The sequence below is a fragment of the Homo sapiens genome, chromosome 2, assembly GCF_000001405.40.
Source record: "Homo sapiens chromosome 2, GRCh38.p14 Primary Assembly".
NCBI lineage: Eukaryota > Metazoa > Chordata > Mammalia > Primates > Hominidae > Homo > Homo sapiens.
The window spans coordinates 174931488-174956971 of record NC_000002.12 but is presented as its reverse complement, the minus strand read 5'-3'; the positions used below and the strand labels follow the sequence as shown (position 1 = coordinate 174956971).

The 25484-nt window shown below is 36.1% G+C and overlaps 1 protein-coding gene across 5 annotated transcripts in view; it reads left to right on the top strand.

The window, feature by feature from the left end:
- Positions 1 to 25484, top strand: part of CHN1 (chimerin 1) — a 206573-nt gene that overhangs the window by 48410 nt on the left and 132679 nt on the right. For 4 of the 5 annotated variants that reach the window (NR_038133.2, NM_001822.7, NM_001025201.4 and 1 more), the window contains 2 exons: positions 4770 to 4808; positions 12029 to 12084. Coding sequence is in view for 4 of the 5 variants with exons in the window: in NM_001822.7 (NP_001813.1) it covers positions 4770 to 4808; positions 12029 to 12084 (95 nt within the window). In the remaining variant the exon portion in view is untranslated. The remainder of the gene's footprint in view (positions 1 to 4769; positions 4809 to 12028; positions 12085 to 25484) is intronic. The other variant, NM_001371514.1, reaches the window with a different exon arrangement.

The window sequence follows — 25484 nt, the reverse complement described above, 5'->3', positions numbered from 1 at the left end:
GACCAGAGGCACACAGGAACCTAACCCTGTGTTGCCCCCAGGAGCAGTGGTTCAGTATTTGCTGCTAAATTCAGTGTTCGAGGTAACTTCATAGCATATAATTACTGTGAATAATAAGAAATGACTCTATTTGCTGCATTATTTCATTCATTATTCATTTATTCATGTAATCTGTTATTCATTCTTTTTTTTTTTTTTTTGAGATGGAGTCTTGCTCTGTCACCCAGGCTGGAGAGCAGTGGTGTGATCTCAGCTCACTGCAGCCTCTGCCCACTGGGTTCAAGCAGTTCTCCCTGCCTCAGCCTCCTGAGTAGCTGGGGTACAGGTACCTGCCACCACGCCCAGCTAATGATTGTATTTTTAGTAGAGATGGGGTTTCATCATGTTGGCCAAGGCTGGTCTCGAGTTCCTCACCTCAGGTGACCCGCCCCTCTTGGCCTCCCAAAGTTCTGGGATTACAGGTGTGAGCCACCACGCCCGGCCTGTTATTCATTCTTTGAGCAGACATATTTGTGTGTGTGTTTTGTTTTTTCATTTTACCATCATATATTCCTTCTCTGATGCTCTTTCTTTATGTAGATTTGAGTTTCTGACTTACATCCTTTTCCCTCTGTTTTTGAAGAATTTCTTCTAACATTTATTTTTGGCCAGGTTTGTTGTGTTGAGTTCTCTCATTTGTTGTTTTTCTGAGAAAGTCTTTATCTTTCCTTCTGATTTGAAGGATAATTCTAGTGGATATAAAATTTGGGGTTGTTATTTTTTCTTTCTTCAACATTTTGGATATTTTACTCCTCTCTCAATGCTTTTATGGTTTCTAGTGAGAAGTCTACTTGTAATTCTTATCATTATTCTCCAATGGAAAAGTTATTTTTCTTCTTCTTCCAAGATTTCCTCTATGTCTTTAAGTTTTCCACAATTGTTTTTTAATTTTCAACTTTTATTTTAGATATGGGGATACATGTGCAGATTTGTTACATGAGAATATTGCATGATGCTGAGGTTTGGAGTACAGGTCCTGTCACCCTGGCAGTGAGCATAGTGCTTAATAGGTAGTTTAACTCACCCCTCTCCTCACCTTCTAGTAGTCCACAATAGACATTGTGTCATATTTATATCCTTGTGTGCTCAATACTTAGCTCCACTTATAAGTGAGAAGATAACGGTATTTGGTTTTCTGTTCCTGTGTTAGTTTGTTGAGGATAATGGCCTCCAGCTGCCTCCATATTTTTGCAAAGGACATAATTTCATTCTTTTTTATGGCTGTTTAGTATTACATGGTGTGTACATACCACATTTTATTTTATTTTATTTTTCATTTGTTTGTTTTTCAATTTATTTATTTATTTCTATAGATTTTTAGGTGGTGTTTGGTTACATGAATAAGTTCTTTAGTGGTGATTTCTGAGAATTTGGTGCACCTATCACCCGAGCATTGTACACTGTACCCAGTGGGTAGTCTTTTATTCCTCTCCCCGTCCATCCTTTCCCCTCACTCCCCAAAGTCCATTGTATCATTCTTATGCCTTTGTGTCCTCATAGCTTAACTCCCTCCTGTAAGTGAGAACATATGACGTTTGGTTTTCCATTCCTGAGTTACTTCACTTAAAATAATGGTCTCCAATTCCATCTGGGTAAGTTCACCTGAACTGCTGCAAATGCCATTATTTCATTCTGTTTTATGGCTGAGTTGTATTCCATGGTGTGTATATATATATGTCTATCTATTTATCTCTATATATCTATATCTATATAGATATATATATATATCAATTATATATATATATATAGATATAGATATATAGAGATATATAGACATAGATATATAGAGATATATAGATCTATATTAGATCTATAGATCTATAGATCTATATATATAGATATATAGATGTATATACCGCATTTTCTTTATCCACTTGTTGATTGATGGGCATTTGGGCTGGTTCCATATCTTTGCATTTGTGAATTGTGCTGCTATAAACATGCGTGTGCAAGTGTCTTTTTCATATAATGACTTCTTTTCTTCTGGGTAGATACCCAGGAGTGGAATTACTGGATCAAATGGTAGATCTACTTTTAGTTCTTTAAGGAATCTCCACACGGTTTTCCATAGTGATTGTACTAGTTTACATTCCCACCAACAGTGTAAAAGTATTCCCTTTCACCACATCCACACCATTTATTATTTTTTGATTTTTTAATTATGGCCACTCTTGTAGGAGTGAGGTGTTAACATATTGGGGTTTTGATTTGCATTTCCCTGATAATTAGTGATGTTGAACATTTTTTCATGTTTGTTGACTATTTGTATATCATCTTTTAAAAATTGTTTATTCATGTCCTTAGCCCACTTTTTGATGGGATTGCTTGTTTTGTTCTTGCTGATTTGTTTGAGTTCCTTGTAGATTCTGGATATTAGTCCTTTGTCGGATGTATAGATTGTGAAGATTTCTCCTATTCTGTGGGTTGTCTGTTTGCTTTGCTGATTATTTCTTTTGCTATGAAGAAACTTTTTCATTTAATTAAGTTCCATCTATTTATCTTTGCTTTTGTTCCGTTTGCTTTTGGGTTCTTGGTCATGAAGTCTTTGCCTAAGCCAGTATCTAGAAGGGGTTTTCCAATGTTATCTTCTAGAATTTTTATGATTTCAGGTCTTAAATTTAAGTCTTTGATCCATCTTGAGTTGATTTTTGTATAGGGTGAGAAACGAGGATCCACTTTTGTTCTTCTACATGTGGCTTGCCAATTTTCCCAGCACCATTTGTTGAATTAGGGTATCCTTTCCCCACTTAATGTTTTTGTTTGCTTTGTTGAAGGTCAGTTGGCTGTAAGTATTTGGCTTTATTTCTGGATTCTCTATTCTGTTTCACTGGTCCATATCCTTATTTTGATACCAGTACTATGCTGTTTTGGTAACTATGGCCTTATAGTATAGTTTGAAACTGGGTAATGTAATGCCTTCAGATTTGTTCTTTTTGCATAGTCTTGCTATGGCTGTGCAGGCTCTCTTTTGGTTCCATATGAATTTTAGGATTGTGTTTTCTAGTTCTGTGAAGAATAATGGTGGTATTTTGATGGGAGTTGCATTGAATTTGCAGATTACTTTTGGTAGTATGGTCATTTTCACAATATTGATGCTATGCATCCGTGAGCATGGGATGTGTTTCCATTTGTTTGTTTCATCTATGATTTCTTTCAGTAGTGTTTTGCAGTTTTCCTTGCAGAGGTCTTTCACCTCCTTGGTTATGTGTATTCCTAAGTTTTTTTGGTTTTTGTTTTTGTTTTTTGTTTGTTTTTTGCAGCTTTTGTATAAGAGATTGAGTTCTTGACTTGATTCTCAGCTTGGTCACAGTTGGTGTATAGCAGAGCTACTGATTTGTGTACATTAACTTTGGAAACTTTGCTGAATTCATTTACCAGTTCTAGGAGCTTTTTGGATGAGTATTTAGGGTTTTCTAGGTGTGCGATCATGTCATCAGCAAACAACAACAGTTTGACTTACCAATTTGGATGCCCATTATTTCTTTCTCTTGAAGCAGACATATTTGAACACTCTATGGGGTGCCAAGCAATTTCCACATGATTTAAAATTTCCATGTTATGTTCTTATGCCCACTATTAGCAGTCTTGCTGTAACCCTTTTTCTCAAAGTATTTGTGTGGTTTATGATAACACATTATAAATGAAGTGTGATATTGCAGTTTAAAGGTTGCAGATTGGAGGCTGAATGTCTTATGTCTATGACCATTTTACCTGAGCTACTTGTTTAGTCTTCTCAATAAACTTTCCAGGGATTTTTTTTTTTTTTTTGCTTCCTTGGAGATCAAAATTTTTGGATCAGATTGCCTAATGGGTTCATGTTGGTTTCCAGCAGAGCCAGGTGATGTGGCTGGCCATACCTTTCTATACCAAAAAATGTTTCTGCAGTCGTGGCTATATAGTCTTGCAGGCAGAGCTTTTGACTGGCAAAAATTAGTCCCCAGCTATGCTTTACTGATGAGAAGCCACACAGCGTAGCCAGAAGCTACACTGGCCCCTTCTTCTTTCTCTGATAACTCCACGTCCGTCATGTGTTTGTATTTCCATCTCTTTCCACTTCCTATTTATACTGTCTCCTACATCTGCACTCAGGCAACATGAGGGGAAATGGACTTGAAGAGCAGATGTTCACCTCATGTTCGTTGTGGTTCCCTAGATACACTCTCTTCCATTGAAGTGTTTCTCATTTCCTGGTTTTGATTGTCCAGGATGTGTGAGGACTGAGATCTGAACCTTGCTGTTCCTTCTTTCTTCATGTTAGTAAAACCATGTACATTGGAATCCCCCAAATGTAACGGGGGAAAATAATAGAAATACTTAACTTTTGCGGTGATTAAAATGATTAATCTGGTGAATTTGACTGAAAAAGAAAAATTCAATAATTTTAGGGATCTTTCAGTGAAATAATCATTAAGCCCAAAGAAACAAAGCCTTTATTGACTATTACTTCAGTGATAGTAAGAAATGAGTACCAGCAGTAAAAGTTAACCTTGATGTTTTTATGTAATTAGCAATTGAATAAATACAGTAACTTTATTTAAACATCTTTGTAAAATTACTCCAACTAAGTAAGGACCAAGACTAAAAAAAAACCCTTGAATGCCCCTTAGTGCCTAGCACAATACCTAGAACAAATAGATCTCAACAGATATATATTAAATGAGTTAATGATTAAAATGTCTCATTTAAAATTTAAATATTCAGTAATGTTAATTTGATGTTTTTTCTTTCAGATACAGATGAATATAGACCTCCTGTTTGGAAATCTTACTGTAAGTCTACAAATAATTGTGTGGGTTATAGTGCTTTATAAGTAATATAAAAATATGGGATTATTAGATAGAAATACTCATTCCATTTTGTACCCATTGTTGAAAAATTAATTTAAACAAGGTTTGGGAGTAGCATAGAAATAATTGTGGTTAAGTAAGTGTTTACACAAAGTCTGTACAGTATATGGTTTTCCGTCTGGAATGCATTTCATCCCTCTGAGCTTATATGAATTCCATGTAGTGAAACTTGAGACCACTTGTTCAGAGTGGCTAATGAAGCTAATACAAGGAGACACTGAGAATTCAAACAGTCTAATTATTTTCAGGTCCTGATTCTTTATGTGAAGAAAGGAATATTTAAATGACAATAATTCAGGAGGCTATGTTGATAGAAAGAATAAGTGAAAAGAGGCAAAAAAAGGTGATCTAACTTTTAAATAATTACTTTCCCAAAACATAAGGGAGATACTTGATTCCATGCTGCTCTTTAAACTGCGTTAGGATATTTCTTTTTAAACATCTAGGGTTTTAGTTCTTTATTTTCCTTTCCTTGTTTTCTAGAGAATATTATTTCACCAAGTAAAGGATATTTCAGATTTTAAAAGTTCAAATAGGGCTAATATAATCAAAATGGTTTTTTAAAATTTATGAATGCATTATTATGGAAAAGCACTATAAGTTCTTGTTCGTTGTTTCTGTAGTTGAATAAGCAGCCTAAGAAACCTGTTCTTTAATTATAGATTAACATCTTTGTAAATGCTGAGGTTTATTATAAATCTGATGATTGTAGGTTGCTGAAATTTGCTGACTGAAGGAACAGCAATTCAGATTCTCATTGGTCTTATGTTCTCAGAACAGATAATTTTTTTTTTAATAGGTTGCCACTTTGGGCTAATTATAAGTAAAATATGAACAGTCTCTAAAAATATTGCCATAGATGCTTCCCCTCAACGCTGCTAGTGCCTTTTTCTTTTTCCCTTGGGAGTATAGTTATACGAATGTGTAAAAATGACTAATATTCTTTACCTCCTAAAGATTTTGTCTCATAATCTCATTGGCTGGAAGCCTATTTAAAATTCTTCTCTGGCCGGGCACTGTGGCTCATGCCTGTAATCCCAGCACTTTGGGAGGCAGAGGCAGGCGGATTGCCTGAGGTCAGGAGTTTGAGACTAGCCTGGCCAACATGGTGAAACCCATCTCTACTGAAAATACAAAAATTAGCTAGGCGTGATGGCACACACCTGTAGTCCCACCTACTTGGGAGGCTGAGGCAGGAGAATCGCTTGAACCAGGGAGGCAGAGGTTGCAGTGAGCCAAGATCGCACCACTGCACTCCAGCCTGGGCAACAGAGCGAGACTCCATCTCAAAAAAAAAAAAAAAAAAAACTTCTCTGCATTTTCTGGTTTTCAGTTTATCTTTATTCCCTGACTCTGACTTGCACCCTGCACATTTTTAATGTAAGAACATTTATGAAGCCTCAGACTATTATTGAGTTTGTAGTGATCTTTTCCTCCATGAAAAATATCAATTAGTAAATGTAGTATATGCAACTGGTATTTTTTGTAGCTTCACATATCTCGCATGTCTTGCAGTAGCTATCATTTGTTTTAAAATATGGCATTTATGTAATCCCAACACTTTGGGAGGCTGAGGTGGGTGGATCACCTGAGGTCAGGAATTTGTGACCAGCCTAACATGGTGAAACCCGTCTCTACTAAATACCAAAAAATTAGCTGGGTGTAGTGGTGCATGCCTGTAATCCCAGCTACTTGGGAGGCTGAGACAGGAGAATCACTTGTACCTGAGAGGCAGAGACTACAGTGAGCTGAGATCGCACCTTTGCACTCCAGCCTGGACAACAACAGTGAAGAGCAAAACTATGTCAAAAAAAAAAGACATTAAAAAAAAAAAGAGAGAGATAGGCTATTGCTTTGTCGCCCAGGCTGGTGTGCAGTGGCGCAATCTTGGCACGCTACAGCCTTGACCCCCTGGGCTCAAGTGATCCTCCCACTTCAACCTCCTGAGTAGCTGTGACCACAGGTTGATTTTTAAAAATTTTATTTTGTAGACTACGAGGTCTCACTGTGTTGCCCAGGAAGGTCTCCAACTCCCGACCTCAAGTGATCCTGCCTCCTTGGCCTCCCAAGTGTTGGGATTATAGGTGTGAGCCACTGTGCCCAGCTGAATCTTTCTTTAATAAGACTACAGTTCTGTTACGGAGTTTTATCATTTCTCTTAATGACTTCAATGTCTGAACTCCCCGTAATCATTTTAACAGTAGAAATGTGTAGGAAATTATTAAAATAGATATTTTATCTTTTGACTTTTTCATTTGTCACATGAAAAAAACTTCTGAGTCAAGGAAATTTTATAATTAAACTATGTTAAAAGCAAGTGGAAAAATCCTTTTTAGAAATTTTCTTATAAGATTATGATATTAATCTTCCAAGATTTGAGTATGTGCAAATTTTAACAAATGAGGAAACATAAAAATTGCAGCCAGGCTTGGTGACTCAGGCCTGTAATCCTAGTAGTCTGGGGAGACTGAGGTGGGAGGATCACTTGAGCCCAGGAGTTTGAGGCCAGCCTGGCCAATTTAGGCGGATCCCATCTCTACCAAAAAATAAGAAATAAAAACATTAGCTGGGCATGGTGTTGTACTCCTGTGGTCCCAGCTACTTGGGAGGTGGAGGTGGGAGGAACTGCTTCCCAGCTACTTGGGAGGTGGAGGTGGGAGGATTACTTGGGCCCAAGGGGTATGGAGGCTGCAGTGAGTTGTGATCAGTACTCTGAACTCCAGACCCTGTCTCATTCATTTATTCATTCATGTTAAATAAATAAATGCATTCTAACGATGACTTTTTATGATCATATAGATGGTTAATGTGTTTGTCAAATTCTGATCTTAGAAAAAAATGTGATTAAGTTGAACTTTTTGTTTATATTATCTTTTACCACTCAAGACAGTTTTACAGTTTTTACAACCAGCTCTAAATAATCTTCAGTAAGATGTTTATTAATTGTACCTTAAGGACTTCATCTCTTAGGAATCTTTATATTTTAGTAGGAAAAATTTTAAAGACTGACCGACCTGTTATACCCTGACTTCATCAATAGAGACTGGAATTTTAAATAACTGAGGTAGTAGGCATTGTTCAGTATCCTTAATATGTGAGCCATGACAATCTTAGGCCAGATATATATATAGTTTAGAATTGATAATTGACAATATTTTCTACTAATAGTCTTTGGGACCGACAAACTGTAATGCTTCAGCATCTCTGTGATGTGACTTAAATTTAGTTATTAAAAATTCTTAAAATGGTAATAAAATAGAAATGGGCTGAAATTTTAAAAATAATTAGGTATGTCAATTCATGTAAGGTGGCACACCCATTGAAAGCTATTCAAGGAGTTCTAATTGTTCACTTCTGTAATAGATCTATAAAAGTAAACAAGATGATTTAATTTAATGTCAAAAGTTGCTACATGTTAGTGTGTTTTGTTTTTCTATCTTTGGCATGGTGGAATCTGAACAGCATTTCACAATTTGATTCTAGAAGAAACTTATTTTACCCATGCCTATCTTGTACTTCCTACTGTTAGTTCCATTGATCTTGTAAAAATGTAACTCTGAAGTCTTACAAATATAAACCAATAGGGAAGTAAAATTAGCAAGAAGTCTAAGTTGTGGACTCTTTTTAAACAAATACGGTTTTGTCGCTTTTCAGTACTTATTGTGTGAATTAAACCAGGAACCTTACATGTAATAAATGAGGCAAGCAAGCCAGATTAGGACTATGAGTAAGTTGACCGTGGAGACCTTGTCTGTAGAGAGTAGCTCAAAATTAGCTCCTTTTATTGTCATGTTAGACTCTGGGTTCATTATTGCCAGATCTGAGTTTTCAAAAGAGGCTGGAATTCTCTTTTGCTTTTGTTGTCCTTAAGTTTCTTAATTTTTTAATGTTAAAAACCTACTCAAATGTAAAAGACAGCAAACAAAACACATGTGGACCAATTTTGACTTCAAGATACCAATTTGTGATCTTTGGACTTGATGAACAATTTATTGTCTGTAGGGATTGAGAATTTCATTAATAAGTATATACTCATTGACACTTCTAAGGTGACTGAAAATATTAAGTACTTTAATCATATATTCCCTCATCTTGAATTTAGCTATTAATTTTTGGTGAATCATTTAATGATTGTGCTTATTTAAATTCAGCTGAGTTCCAATTCAAATTATCAGAAATTCCAAACTGAGAGAGAAGGACCTGAATTAGACCTCATTACTTTGTATAACTTTTTAATGATCTTTTTGATAGGTGTTTTTTGAATCCAAATTTGTTATATTTGTTATAAAATATCCAAGACTTGACTAGGCACAGTGGCTCACACCTGTAATCCCAGCATTTTAAGAAGCCAAGGTGGGAGTATCACTTGAGCTCAGGAGTTTGAGACCAGCCTGGGCAAGATGGTGAAACCCGGTCTCTATAAAAAATACAAAAATTAGCTTGACGTGGTGGTGTGTGCCTGTAGTCCCAGCTACTTGGGTTCTGCGGCATAAGGCTTGCTTGAACTCGGGAGGTTGAGGCTGCAGTGAGTCATGTGTGTGCCACTGCACTCCAGCCTGGGTGACCAAGTGAGACACTGTCTCAAAAAAAAAAAAAAATTAAAAAAAAAAAGAGTCTTAAAGATAGATTAACTGTTAGTAACCACTGGTAGCCAATCAGGAGGCATTTGTCTAAAAGTTCCTCGTTATGAAACAGAGCTTTATCCTTTGAGACGATTAGAAGGATTTGAAAGAAATTGAAAAGTAAATAACCTTATGTGACTTAATGTTAAGAAAATACTATATACCCTTTGAAACTCTGATGAAAGCAAATTTGAAACCCACATCAATTCTCATATGACAATATTGTCTCCCTTTTTTTCATAGTGGCTCATCTTAATGTATGCTTACTGAACAGGCAAATGCTTACTGCTGATAACCAGATACTACAGTATTTGTGCTTTGAGTCAAAATCGACATTTTACTTTCTGTATTAACTTTTAATGTTCTTCTTGACTATCATTCAGTTCTCAGAATTGGGTTTTCATAGATGGCAGCACTTTCCAGAGCATTTTCTTGACAAAGGAAAATACCAATATTTTGAGAATTACTGATCAAAGTAGAAACGTGAACTAAATTTTTACCTTATAGGTACCAATATGGAGGAATGGACTTGAAGAATTTTTTTTTTTTTTTTTTTTTTTTTTACATTTTTTAGAGACAGGGTCTCGCTATGTTGCCAGGCTGGTCTCTTGAGCTCAAATGATCCTCCCACCTTGGCCTCCCAAAGTGCTGGGATTACAAGTGTGAGCCACTGTGCCTGGCCCTTGAAGAATCCTTCTTTCTTACAAATCATGGTTTGGCCATTTTTAAGGAGGATGGAGATTTACACATATCATGGGGTGATACACATGTACTTTTCATTATCAGGGCCAGACAAATTTGACTTTAGTGCTTTTTCTTCCCTTTTCTACCTCAGAATTAACTCCCTTTTTGTCATCTCTGTAACAATATATAAAACTATATTCACAGGAATATTTCTTATTAACTCTCACAATGAAATATGGGTATCTAAAACTGTTTCAATGTATTACCTCTCTTAGGGATTTTTGCCATCAGGAGAAAAAGGTAAAGGAATACATTTCTACCAGTAGAATTTAAACATTCCTGATGAAGTGGCTTTGTGTTTGATTTTTAAACAATAAAGCTGTATTTTCTCAGTTCCTTTTAAATTATAGCATTGCCCTGATACTATGTTTTAGTGATGAACTCAAGATGCATCCTAGTAATCAAGTATTATTATAAAGAATTTTATGTATTAATATCAATCACCTATGTATAATAATAAGTAGTCTTCATTGAGCATTTACTGTGTGCTAGGGACTATTTTACATCTTTCACATAAATTATTTATATCCTTAAGTAATCTGTGAAGTACAAACTATTATTAATCCCATTTTGCAAATAAGGAAAATGAAGGCATAGAATGCAGTGCTAGTGACAGAGCCCCAGTGTTCAGACTCCAGATGGTTTGGTTCAAGAGTTCAAATTCTTAACCCCAGTGCTGTATCCCCTTTGCATAGAAGTACTCACAGTTACGTGTATGTGTGTGTGTTCACTGTGTGTGTGTGTAGAGAGAGATAGTATATATATACACACACATTTATATATATATACACACACACACACACACACACAGGCTAATTATGTATGTGTGTATAGTCTAATTGTATTTATTCTATATATGTCCCTATGATGTATATGAATGAATGTGGTCAGAAGTAGAGTCCGTGTAATCATATCCATTTGAAATCTGAGTCATCCGTTATCTGACAGTCCCAGATTACTGGGTAGTTTGATGTTATGTTGACAAAATATCTTAAGTATTTAGAGTATTAAATTATATGTGATTATATATGTAGAAATAGAAAAAAAAATCTCTAAGAGATAAACTTAGACATATATAGCCACACATCCTATTCATTCTTTTTTCATTTTAAATAAAAAAGCCTGAAGTGAGGCTAGAAGGAAGTCATGGTATCAGTATAATTTTCACTGATGCATTTTCAGATGCCCTAAAAATGATTCCCTCTTTTGGCAAGTTATTTGAATATCTGAATTCTTTCTTTTGCTATATTTGCCCTAGTTGAATAAGCAGTGGTAACTTTGGCTCAGACCTTTTGTTTTTAGGGGAAGAGGAAAATTATCTTTGAAGATAGATGTTTGCAATATAAATAGTGTGTTCGTTACATTTAGCCTATAAATCTTGATTTTAGTTTCAAGGTTGACACTTAATAACATGCTTTAAATATATGTATATATAACCATTATTGGTTTATATCATAGACATCCTTTAATATCCCCACAAAGAACTGGGGAAAATAAATGACCAGATTATGGAGAACAGAGCCAAATATCCAGCACTGACTTGTTATAAGGTAAAAAGACACTTGTTTGGATTATGATTTTTCTGTTTGAATTGCTCCTGGGCTTTCACTATATGTAGTTTTGTTTACTTTTTTTGTTTTGTTCATAACACAATTTAGTAAATAAGGTTATACCAGTTTTCTTGTGAACATAAAAAGCAGCCAGGTTTTTATTTCTAATATATTGATAAGTTCTATGTAAGGGACATTGACACTTTTTGTTTCTACCTTCTCACAGTATATCAGCTACAACAGGAAGCCCCTCATCCTCGAAGAATTACCTGTACTTGCGAGGTGGGTGTAATGAAACTGCTACCAAAAAATGTCTCTCAACCATCTGTTTCCCAAACTTTCACCTTCTTCAGTGGCTTGGTTGTTTGTGAGATTAACCACTTAACACTAATCGATATGATAAAATTATAACTTGAATACATTTTTCTTAATATCCTTCTCATTTGATTTAACTTCCACTTTTTAGTGGACTGTTTGGAACACAGTATAGAATATGACCATATAGTTTTAAGGGTTGTTCGTATTCTTTTCAGTTAATTCATACATTGTGTTTTCATTGTTTAATATTCTTTTTTTAGAACAAAGTTTGGAGCCATCATTGTAGGATTATTGAATTCTTTTTTACATTGAAATAAGTATTTAGCTTATGATTTTAAAAATGAACAAAAGATGTGGATAGTTCACCAAAAAAAGATATGATGTATGACAATATATGTAAAGATGTTCAAATTTCATTGATAATAAGAGAAATGCCAATTAAAATACAGAGAGATCATTTTTACTTTGCAGATTGGCAAAAGTTAAAAGCTCAGAATATACTTACTTGGCAAGCCTGTGAGGAAACAGGCACTTACATTGCAGATTGGAATGTGACATACTATAACTTTATGAGAATTTTGTAGTATCTACCAAATTATACCTTCACCTGCCTTTGACTTACCAGTCCAAATTCTAGGAATTTATCCTGATGAACCACCTGCACAAATATAGAATAACATATGCTCAAAGTTTTTTATTGTAGGATTGTTAGTAATAGCAGAAAAAAACCTAAATGTCTGTCCAGAGGAGACTGATTGAATAGAATAGAATACTAAAATAAGGAAGATTTCTATGTACTGATACGGAAAGATTTCCAGATATAAAATGTATATAGATATAGTAAGTATGGTCCCTCTTTCATATGAAAGAATAGAAAATAAAAAATATATAGTCTGGTCAGGCAAAGCAGCTCATGCCAGTAATCTCAACACTTAGCTAGGCACAGGTGAGAAGACAGCTTGATCCAGGAGTTCAAGACCAGCCTGGGCAACATAGTGAGACCTTGTTCTCCACAAAAAGGAAAAGTATATTTGTAGATATAGTTTATTTTTGCAAAAGAGAAACACAGAAAGGATTAAACCAGAGACTGGTAAAATAATTATGATAATAATTATGATAAGGAGTGGATGAAGAGCACCTTATTTACATAATTATTATCATAATAATATGATAAGGAGTGGATGAAGAGCACTGTGGAGGAAATAGAGATGGGAGTGAGATTTTTCTGAGTCTGATTTTTAGTCTGAGTTGTGACTTTTGAACCATGTAAATGGTCACGTATTGAAACAAAAAAGGTAAAGAAAAATGATTTTTAAAAAGCAAACCCAGCTGGGCATGATGGCTCATGCCTGTAATCCAAGCACTTTGGGAGGCTGAGGCAGGCAGATCACGAGGTCAAGAGTTTGAGACCAGCCTGGCCAACATGGTGAAACCCAGTCTCTACTAAAAATACAAAAATTAGCTGGTTGTGGTGGCAGGTGCCTGTAATCCCAGCTACTCAGGAGGCTGAGGCAGGAGAATCGCTTGAACCCGGGAGGCAGAGGTTGCAGTGAGCTGAGATGGGACCACTGCACTCCAGCCTGGGCAACAGAACAAGACTCCATCTCAAAACAAAAACAAAAACAAAAACATGTACACACATACACACACACACACACACACACACACAAGCAAACCCTAAAATTGAATACAAATAAGAACAAATGAACCTTACAAATTCACAGCATAATCACCAAAAAAGATAACTTAAATAGCTTTTATTTATTTATTTACTTATTTACTTAACTTTTTATTTTTTTTTTTAGATAGAGTCTTGCTTTATCTCCCAGGCTAGAGTCCAGTGGTGTGATCTGGCTCACTGCAGCCTCAACCTCCTGAGCTCAAGTGATACTCCTACCTCTGCCTCCCAAGTAGCTGGGACTACAGGCATGTGCCACCATGTCTGGCTAATTTTTGTACTTTTTTGTAGAGATGGGGTTTCGCCATGTTGCCCAAGCTGGTCTCAAACGCCTAAGCTCAAGGGATCCACCCACCGTGGCCTCCTAAAGTGTTGGGATTACAGTTGTGAGCCAGGGCACCTGGCCTTTTAAGTTGCTTTTTAAAAAATATTTTAAATTGACACATAATAATTGTGCATATTTGTGTAGTACAGAGTGATATTTTGATACATGTATACACTGTAATGATTGAGGGTAATTAGCATATCCATTACCTCAAATCTTTGTGTTGAGACATTCACAATTCTCTCTTCTAGCTAATTGAAAATATAAATTATTTGTAACTCTTATCTAGGATAATTTTATATCTATTAACCAACCTCTCCCTATCCTTTTTTTCCTCTACCCCTCCCAGCCTCTAGATACCACTGTCTTGCTCATCTTCTGTGAGATCAATTTATTTAGCTCCCACATATGAATGAGAATGTGCAGTATTCATCTTTTGTGCCTTTCTTATTTCATTTAACATAATGTCTTCCAGGTTCATCCATGTTGCTGCAAAATGACAGGATTTCATTCTTTTTAATGGCTGAATGGTATTCCATTGTGTAAATAAACCACATTTTCTTTATCCATTTGTCTGTTGATGGACACTTAGGTTGATTCCATATTTTGGCTATTGTGAAAAATGCTGTAATTAACATGAGAACACAGACACCTCTTTGACATACTGATTTCCTTTTCTTTGGATATAACCCCAGTAATGAGATTGGTGGATTATACAGTAGTTCTATTTTTAGTTTTTTAGTGGAACCTCCATACCATTTTCCATAATGGCTGTATTAATTTGCATTCCCACCATCAGTGTATGAATTCCCTTTTCTCTGCATCTTTGCCAGCATTTGTTTTGTCTTTTTGATAGTAGCTGTACTAACTGGGGTGACATACTAACAGTGGTTTTGATTTGCATTTCCCTGATCTTTAGTGATACTGAGCGTTTTTTCATATACTTCTTGGCTTAAGTAACTTTTAAACATATTATTCTGACTGTACAAACTCAGAAATATTCTAAGGACAAAAATTGCAAAAGGCAGAGGTGAAAAGACAGCTTGAGCCCAGAGGTTCAAGACCTGCCTGGCAACATGGTGAGATCCTGTTCTCCATAAAAAAGAAAAAAAAATAGTTTATTTTTGCAAAAGAGAAGCACAGAAGGATTAAACCAGAGACCAGTAAAACAATTATCATAAGGAGTAGATGATCAAACGTTCAACATGTGAACATTTACAAAGTTCAAAAGTCACAACTATATAAAAACAGACTTAGAGAAGTCTTAACTACATGTGTAGTAATCTTGAAATTATTTTGTTTGTAATATAGGATAGAGCAAAGAAATAATTTTACTGGATTAGGGGGAACCAGGGTTCTTAGGAGATATTAATGAATTAGGAGAATGGGACACAATTAGAAAGTATACTGTGGTATTAGTTTTGAATTGGTGGCATTAATATTAACTTATAGATTAAAAAAATTTTTTTTCTATCTCAGTCCAAGGAAAGGGCCTAGAAGCCCCAGTAAGAATGAATATTTCCAGGGACTAGATTTTGGGTTCCAAATATGGTTTCCCACCAAAAGGAGGCAATGTTTTTTAGAGAAGTTCCTGATTTCTTAATGTGGGGCAAAGAAGTCCTGGAACATATTGTGTTGGAAAGCAAGAACGTGCTCAAAAACTGATGGAAACATGTCAAAAAGGCACAGGAGCCTATTTGAAAGTTTCCTACCATCAAAACTTGAAACAATTTGAACATCTAAAAGAATAATGGTAGGTATGGATTATAACACATTATGTGAGAGAGAATTTGTAAGTCCGTAATTATACTTTAAAATTAAAAAAAACTCACTTTGTTACAAAGAGAAAAAATGGGGAAATATACAGTTGTTCTTTACAGAAGAAATGACACTTAAAATGTAGAAAAAATATAAAATTACAAAATCACTAATTTGCACTAATGATTGACTCCAGGCAAGGATCATCAGTCATTGGATGTTAAAACCATTGGAAGAAAGGCTGTAGGTGAACAGGATATTTACATGGTCTCAAGGTATGACACCACCAATTATTTGTTAATTGCATAGAGAAAAATATGCCTTTAAAGTGGAGAGATCTGGTGGTCAAACTTAGCATTACCTGTAATGGGACAAACTGTCATGTGTCTCCTGAAGTGATACAGTGAAACACACGGTATCACCTGTATAATATTTTTGCCAAAACTGTTTAACTTAAATCTAGTTATAAAGTACGAATCAGACAAATTCAGAATGTGTACCTTCCATAAGACATCTGCCCTGGGTTTATAAATAATGTCATTATCATAAAAAAAAAACAGTGGTGGGATGATATAAAATTAAAGGAGACTAAAGAGACATGGCCATCAGATTCAAGGACCTTGATCGGGTCCTCAACTTATATATATATTGTAAAGCTATAAATTTTGAGTACAATTGGATAAATTTGAGTATGGACTGTATTAGGTAATGTGGAATCATAATAACTTTCCTAGATGATACATTATTGAAAAATAATTACTCTCGGCTGGGCGTGGCGGCTCACGCCTATAATCTCGGCACTTTGGGAGGCTAAGGCGGGTGGATCACGAGATCAGGAGATCAAGACTAGCCTGGCCAACGTGGTGAAACACCATCTCTACTAAAAACAAAAAATTAGCCAGCCATGGTGGCATGCGCCTTTAGTCCCAGCTACTCAGGAGGCTGAGGCAGGAAAATTGCTTAAACCCAGGAGGCGGAGGTTGCAGTGAGCCAAGATCACACCACTGCACTCCAGCTTGGGCAACAGAGGAAGACTCTGTCTAAAAATAAATAAATAAATAAAATAAAATAAAAGTAATAATTATTTCTCTATTGATAAAAATGTTAAAATAGATTTTGTTATTGTGACTTCTGGTTTAAAACACAATATAGCTTTGAAAGTATATAATTAGTTAACAAAGAGAACCAATTTACAGAATTAGGCAGGAGTTTCATGGGATTGTCTTTTGAATGTCCAGTTGCAGTTTAGATATATGTAGATTTCCAGTCTGTGTATATGTAAGCATAGAATTAAGTATGAGGTACTTGATTATTGCCTTTCATTGCTGCTCGCTGTGATCAAGGATGATTAAATAATTTGCATGTAATGGGAATTTTAAAAATGCTATTTAATAAAATGTTTCATTTTGTTTCATGTTCTGTTCACACATACTTTTTAATTTTTTAAGTATGTGAGAAACTGAAAGTGAGAAATTGGCAGTACTTTGGAAAGTCCTGAAGTATTTATTAGTAAGACTATTATCTTTGTTGAAAAATAGCTATATTATTCCTTTCTTAAAATAATTTGAGACCTCACAAATGAAGACATAATAAAAAGAATAAAGAAAAGTTGAAGGAATAAAAACAGCAAAATGCCAGTAGATTGCAGTGCTGATTGAGGCTCAATGTAGTTGTGTGAAAAGTGTTTCACAGTTATAAAGTATATGAAACTCTGAAGGCCAGTATGATCCAGTTTTTTCCTGAATTAAATTGTTTTAAAAAAATTCATTTGGTGTGACATTAAGGTACGATAAATCAATGGAACTCACTTTTGAAGAGCTAAGCTGATGTGGTCACAGTAGATAGCTTTCTGATGATTCACCTTGATGCAAAGACACAAGATAGAATAATATACTGGATGAATAGATGGATGTTAGAGTCTCTGAAAATAATTTCCTTTTATTTACCTTTGCTCTGTGATTGAATGCTGCCATCCCCTGAGGAACTAGACCAATTATTTGTATTCTCTCCTTTGGTTAAAAGCAGGCATGAAAGCATTGAAAAACCAGAAAAGCAAATTGTACAATTGACATTTTCCTACTTAAATTGAGCAATGTATTCATCATTTCCACTTTGCAATATAAAAAATATTTATTGTATTAACTTTTCACAATATTTTGTGAAATATTTATGTTTCACAAAAATATAGATTTTTTGTAAATATTTTATGTTTGTTTATATTTAAAAATATTTATATTTTTTTCTCCAAAAAAATAGTCATGTTCTAATGACTAAATTGGTGGGCAAGGAATGCTGTTCAGAATGAAAGGATTTACTGTGACTGGCTCTCCTTGTACATTGAAACTATCCTTACATATTATTCACAACTTATAGTCTGTTACTTATTAACAGCTTATAGTCAGTTCCTTAAGTTTGACTGTTTAATAAGGATTAAATATGTGTGCATACAATAAATGTCTTTACTTTGGAAATTAGTGGTGATAATTTGTTTCTATATTTGACCGTTCTCTAGGTTGTTCAATGTTTTTCTGTTTTTCCCAGGTGATAACTAAATGACAGTTACTAAACAGGCATAAGTGGTCTTCCTTTAAAGAAATGAAATTCATACATAATATTATTATAATGATTAGATTTACAAATAGAGACATGGGAAGTATTTATAAGCCACTAATGCTAATGGTTTGCTTATTCTATTAAGTTAAATATCTGTATAACAACTAAGTAACTTGAATGTCCATTAGAAATGAAAGTAAAGGATTAAATAGTGGGATAGAGTTGATCTAAAAATACTTTTCGAAGGAAGAAAGTTTCAGAGTTAGGCTTGATGAAATGATTAGTGATTGGTTTGGAAGAACTAAAGATTATTGAGAATCATGAGCTGTAAGGATAAAGATGTACTCAAGTACCATTTGATGTTCACCCTTAAGTATTTAACTGTGAGCCAGGTGTGGTAGTGTGGTGGTGTGCACCTGTAATTCCAGCTACTTGGGAGGTTGAGGCGGGAGGATCACTTGAGCCTAGGAGTTCTTGAGCCTGTCTCTTAAAAAAATTTTTTTTTAACTGAGGAATTAGATTTGGGCTACTGTGTTAGTTCATTTTGTGCTGTTATAAAGGAATACCTGAGGCTGGGCAATGTATTTTAAAAAGAGGTTTATTTTTGGCCCATTGTTCTGCAGAATGTACAAGAAGAAACACAGTGCCAGCATTTGCTTCTACTGAGGCTTCACGAAGCTCACAGTCATGGTGGAAGGCAGAGGGGGAGCTGGCATATCACATGGTAACTGAGGGAGCAAGAAATATTAATAGGATGAGGTGCCAGGCTTTTTAGCAATCAGATTTCATGGTAACTAAGAGAGTAAGAACTCACTCATTACTGTGGGAAGGGCACCGAGATATTCATGAAGGATCCGCTCCTGTGACTGAAACACCTCCCACCAGGCTCTGTCCCCAACATTGGGGATCATATTTCAACATGAGATTTGGAGGGAACAAACACCCAAACCACATCAGACACTGTATGTTGTTTCTCCACTGAAATGTTGAGAGAAAAAGAGAAAAGTTAATACAATTGATAAGGTGATAGTTTTTAAAAAGTAATAATTATTATTTATGGGTGCTAATTGTAATTTTTAAAATGGATCCAGTGACTTTGTCTTTCGGAATTATGCTTACTTACAATGATAGGAAAGGGAGCACTGGCCCTATTTGTTTGCATGTGCACATTTCCATTCCATTTTCTTCTAATGATAGTATTGTATCACAGCTTACAAATTCAGTAACTATGCCAGGCTCAAAGGGAACATACATTTAGTGACTAGCCATGTGTGTGTGACCTTTCTTTTGTGGTCTACCCCTTGTTTTGGTGATGAATTCTGTGTTCTGCTCTTAGGTGAATTTCTGTTAGCATTTTGAAACCAAATGTGTATCACCTTATTTCAAAACCTGAATTATCAACTATTAAAACAATCATAAACTATTAGTGGCAGAACTCTAAAATGCAAAATATCTAGCAATAATAAATAATTTGACAGAAAATCAAATTATAACTAATGCTTTTTTCCTAATTCCAGAAAATCTTGCCAGTTGCTATTGTGGACACTAAAATATAAATGATTTTTTTATTAAAGGTTATTGTTGAGATCAATTTTGAAATTCAGATATAAATAATCCTTCTTAAAGGAAGAAGATGACCAGGCCACAACTAATTATTTTAGGCAGGCTTTAAAAACCAAGCACATACTTAAAAGCTTGAAAATTATTCTTAATAATGTTGCTACATGATACAGTTGTATCTTATGGGAGAGTTAATTCTGAAGTTAGCAAGTAAAGTGAAAGTCTTATATAGTCAGAATTACCCCTGGAAATTCCTTATCACCCATAAAGTAATGGTACATATTTTTGTGTATACAACTCTGTCATTTATAGGTATATATAAATATATGATTTATTCAGTGAAATGCAGTATATAAAAAATGTAAAATATATACTATTATTTTCTATTGTGTAAAAATGGTTTTGTTTGTTATTTCATGTTAAGCACTTGGTTGAATTCAAGTAAATGTGTATCTATATATGTGTGTGTGTGCATGTATGTATATAGAGTGACTGAGTAGACACAAGTATAAATTACATAGGTATAAGCTATATCTATTTATTACATAGGTATAAAATCTATCTAATTCAGATAGAGATATGAGAGAAGCTCCATATCTTTTGTTCACTGATATTAATACAGTGTATTTGGCACTGGACCATTATTAAACATGGACCCTCAAAGTGGACGCACTTTTCCCCCTGCTATCCACACAGTGGGAAATGTAGTGATGATTTTTTTTAAACATATAAAGCCAAATTTCTATTCCCTGTGACACATTTTTCAAGTTAGTGTTGCAGGGAGTTGGATAGCATTTTTGAGTACAGGTGCACATTATAGTAACAATGAGGTTGTCTTTCTCTAGGCTAAATGGGTAAAGTAGACTGAGGCTGGACAAAATGTACTGAAACACAAGTCAGTGCTATTAGTGTAATGAGAAATGTAGATAAAATTACACAATTTACACTGTTTTCAAATTCTAACTACAATACCAATTAGAGTAATACTGAGTATGTATTTTGGTAGCACATGTTTTATTTTTATTTACTTTTAATATATTTTTTAGAGACAGAATCTTGCTGTGTTGCCTGGGCTGGAGTGCAGTGGCCCAATTTTAGCTCACTGTGGCTTTGCATTGCCAGGCTCAAGTGATCCTTCTACCTCAGCCTCCTGAGTAGCTGGGACTGCATGTGTGCACCGCCGTGCCTGGCTTTTTTGTTTTGTTTTGTTTTCTTGTAGAGATAAGGTCTTACTATGTTCCCCAGGCTTGTCTTGAACTCCTGGGCTCAAGCGATCCTCCTGCCTCAGCCTCCCAAAGTGCTGGGATTACAGGCGTGAGCCACCGTGCCAGGCCAACACATGTTTTAAAAATGTTTTTCTAAAGACCTACTTATAGAAGTAGGAAATTGACTGTAATCATTTTACTCACCTGTCTCCCCCAAGCAGATTATGTTCAGCACCTAGGTATGCTGACTGGTGTGTAGTATAGGTTGTTAAATGCTTATAGGGTGGAATGAATGAATGAGATATCTTTGTGTAATTTATTTTTCAATACAATGTTCTTATAATATGGCTTACAAAATGTGTGCATTAATACCTATATCTGTTAGAGATGCTCTGGTTCTTTCTGTCACATGTATGTATTTGTTCATTCAGTCAGCATTCTTGGAGGGGCTACCATCTGCCAGGCCCTCAGGTTTCAAGTCAAATAAAGCAAAATCCCTCTCCTGAAGGAGCTTCCAGTCTAGGTGGGGAATGGAGCGGTAGCTCAACCTTTACTTAGTGCAGAAGCGCAGAGTTGGTAGTACTTACCTTGATACATATGTATGCAGCTCCTCTGGCCAAGGGCAGAGTACTTGTGGGAGAGTGGTAAAAGATAAGCCCGGAAAGCTAACCAGGCATTAGTAATAAAGGGTTCTATGTCCTAAGCTTAGAGTTTAGACTATAGAAGTGAAAGTATTTTAAGCAGGAGAAAAACGTGATTGATTAGGCTTAGGAAGAACAACTGGCTGCAGGGAAGAGGATGGATATTTTAGAGACAAAAAGACTGGTTTAGGAGGCTATTACAGTAGTCCTTGTGATAAGTGAAAAGAACCTACAAGACACTGGTTCTGAGAATAGTCAAGAGGGATTAGGAAAGGGGAATATTTAAAGCAGTAGAATTCTCAGGACTTGCTGACAAGATGGTCATGGGTTGCATGAGAGGGAGTCTAGTAGATTTTCAGGAACCAGTCAACTCTCCTAATCTTCTTTCATGTCATACTTGCTTGGCAAAACTGCAACCCTATTGCTATCTCTGCCTATTCTGCACATTCTGCCAAGTAACAGTATGGCTGGAGGAAAATGAAATATTTCGGAATTTCTGAACTTCAAGTTGGTACTTAATGCTCCCTGTACTGCCTTTATTCATGTCATGCCCTTTCTCTCTTCTCAAACCTCTAATACAGGGGTCCCCGGCCCCTGTGCCACAGACTGGTACCGTCTTGTGGCCTGTTAGGAACTGGGCCGCACAGCAGGAGGTGAGCAGCAGGCAGGTGAGCAAGTGAAGCTTCATCTGTGTTTATAGCTACTCCCCATTGCTCACATTACTGCCTGAGCTCTGCCTCCTGTCAGATCAGTAGTGGCATTAGATTCTCATAGGAGTGTGACCCCTATTGTGAACTGCCCATGCAAGGGATCTAGGTTGTGCACTTCTTATGAAAATCTAATGCCTGATGATCTGTCACTGTCTCCCATTACCCCCAGATGAGACTGTCTAGTTGCAAGAAAACAAGCTCAGGGCTCCCACTGATTCTACATTATGGTGAGTTGTATAATTATTTCATTATATATTACAATGTAATAATAATAGAAATAAAGTACACACTAAATGTAATGTGCGTGAATCATTCCAAAACCATCCCCTCACCTCTGACCCCTGTCTGTAGAAAAATTGTAAAATTGTCTCCCACGAAACTGGTCCCTGGTGCCAAAAAGGTTGGGGACCACTGTTCTGATACCTTACTCCCTCTCCTAATTTTCAGCTCATAATTTTGTATCCTACTTTACTCCTGCTTAAAGCCATCAGAAGAGAACTTCCACAAACTTCCACTGTCACATCCACCCAACCATCAGTATTTGTGTCTGTATGTTCTGCATTCTTGCTTAACCTCATAGGTGATAGCTAGCTCTTCACTACACTAAACCTCACTTCCTCTCTATCTGCTTAAGGACATAATCCTAGCAATTTTCTCCTTTCCTCCACCATCAACAGCTTTTCCCTTTCTGCAAGATCATTTTCGTCAGCCCACAAATATCCTATTATTTCTCCTATCTTAAAAAGTTCTCTTGACCCTGCTTTCTCCATTTGCCTCGCTCAATTTCTTTGCTTTCTTTTGTAGAAAATATTTCAAAGTGTTGTCTGTACTTGCTGTCTGCACTCAGAACTTTACCCACTGCCACTCCAAGCAGAACTGCTTTGGTAAGGTCAGTACTGACTTCCCTATACATACAAATCTAGTAGTTTTTTTTTTCCTCTCATCATCCCATTAGGAGCATCTGATACAAGTGATGACTTTCTCCTCCTTGATACATTTTTCTCACTTTGTTTCCAGGATACTACATTCTTTTATTTTTTCTTTTGCCCCCACAGTCTATTTCTCTGGTGCTGCTTCAACCTGATCTCTTGATTTTGGGGTGCCCCCAAATCCTCTCCTCTTCTCTTCTCTACCTATATTTACTTTATTATGATCTTACCAGTTTCAGGTTTTAATGTAACTTACATTTCTTTATATGTCCAGTCCTTTCTCCCAAACTCCTATATACCTATATATATACACACATATATATCCAGTTTCCTACTCTACATCCCCTCTCATATGTCTAATAGACATCTCCAACAGAAATAGCCTGTTCAAAACAGAACTGAGCTTCACCTTCCTCCCCAACCTTCTATTACCACAGCCTTCCAGATCTCAATTGATGGCAGTTACTTAATTCCAGTTTCCCAGACCAAAATCAGGAAGTCATATTGGGTCTATCTTTGGAATATGTCCAGAATCCTAACTGTATTAGTCTGTTCTCACATTGCTATAAAGAAATGCCTGAGACTGGGTAATACATAGAGAAAAGAGGTGTTTAATTGGCTCATAGTTCCACAGGCTGTACAGGAAGTATGGCTCGGGAGGCCTCAGGAAACTTTTATTCATGGTGGAAGGCAAAGCCAGAGCAGGCATCTTCACATGGCCATAGCAGGAGGAAGACAGAGGGCAGGTGCCACACACTTAAACAACCAAATCTCGTGAGAACTCTATTACAAAAACAGCACCAAAGAGGGAAATCCACCCCCATAATCCAGTCACCTCCCACCAGTCCCCACCTCCAACATTGGGGATTTCAATTCAACATGACATTTGGGTGGAGACACAGATCTAAACCATATCACTAACTTTTAGTGGTAACCTGTTTCATGGCTACCAAGCAAGGATGAACTGTGGAAACTGTGAGATACTCGGCAAAATCCAGTCTTCCTTTCTTTGAAAACCTGGGTAGCCTAAATTTTCGCAGCCTCTTGTAGATACTTACGTCAATTTGACAGTTTTCTCTAGGGGAACAGACGTTAACTTCAATGCTAGACCCATTAAAACTTTTTGCCAACTTAAATCCTGCTTGCATTCAGATAAAAACATCTCCACAAGGAGATGGTATATCTACAAAATGGAGGGGATATGGATGTAGGACAGTTGTCTTGCCAACTTGAGTACATATACAGGAATGTTATATAAACGAGAAATAAACTTCTGTTGTGTCTAGTTATTATATATTAAGGTTGATTTGTCATAGTGACTTATCCTACCTTAACACACAGTAATCCCTCAGGAGGGTAACTGAGCTAGTTCTTAACTGATCTTTCCCCTTATGGTCTATTCCCAGCACAGAGTAATCTTTTTGAAACCACAGTCAGCTCATGTCACTGTTCTGCTCAGAACTCTCCATTGGCTTTCCCTGTCACTCAGAGTAAAAGCCAAACCTTCACAGTGCCTTATAAGGTCCTCTCTAACTCATCTCTTACTGCTTCCTTGCCTCCTCTTCCCTGCCCCCATTCTGCTTCAGCCTGACCAGTCTTCATGCTTCTCAGATACAGCAGGTGTGATCCTTTCTCAGCCCTCCCGCTGACTTCTCTTTCTGGAATGTTCTCTCTGATACACTCTTGGCTCATTCGTTCATATGCTTCAAATCTTCCCAGCGAGGCCCATTGTGACCACTATATTAGGAATTATACTTTATCATCCCCCCAGCATTCCCAGTCTTTTCCTGTTCTACTTTGTCTTGTCTTCACAACACTTTTCATTTTGTTACATACTATATAGTTCACTTATTTATTATTGTTTACTGCTGTTTTCCCTTACTAGAATAGAAGCTCTATGCAGGTAGCAATTTTGGTCTGTTTTGTTTATCAGTATTTCCCAGGTTCCTGGAACAGTGCTTGACACTTAGTAGGTGCTTAATAAAGACTTGTTAATTGAATGGAT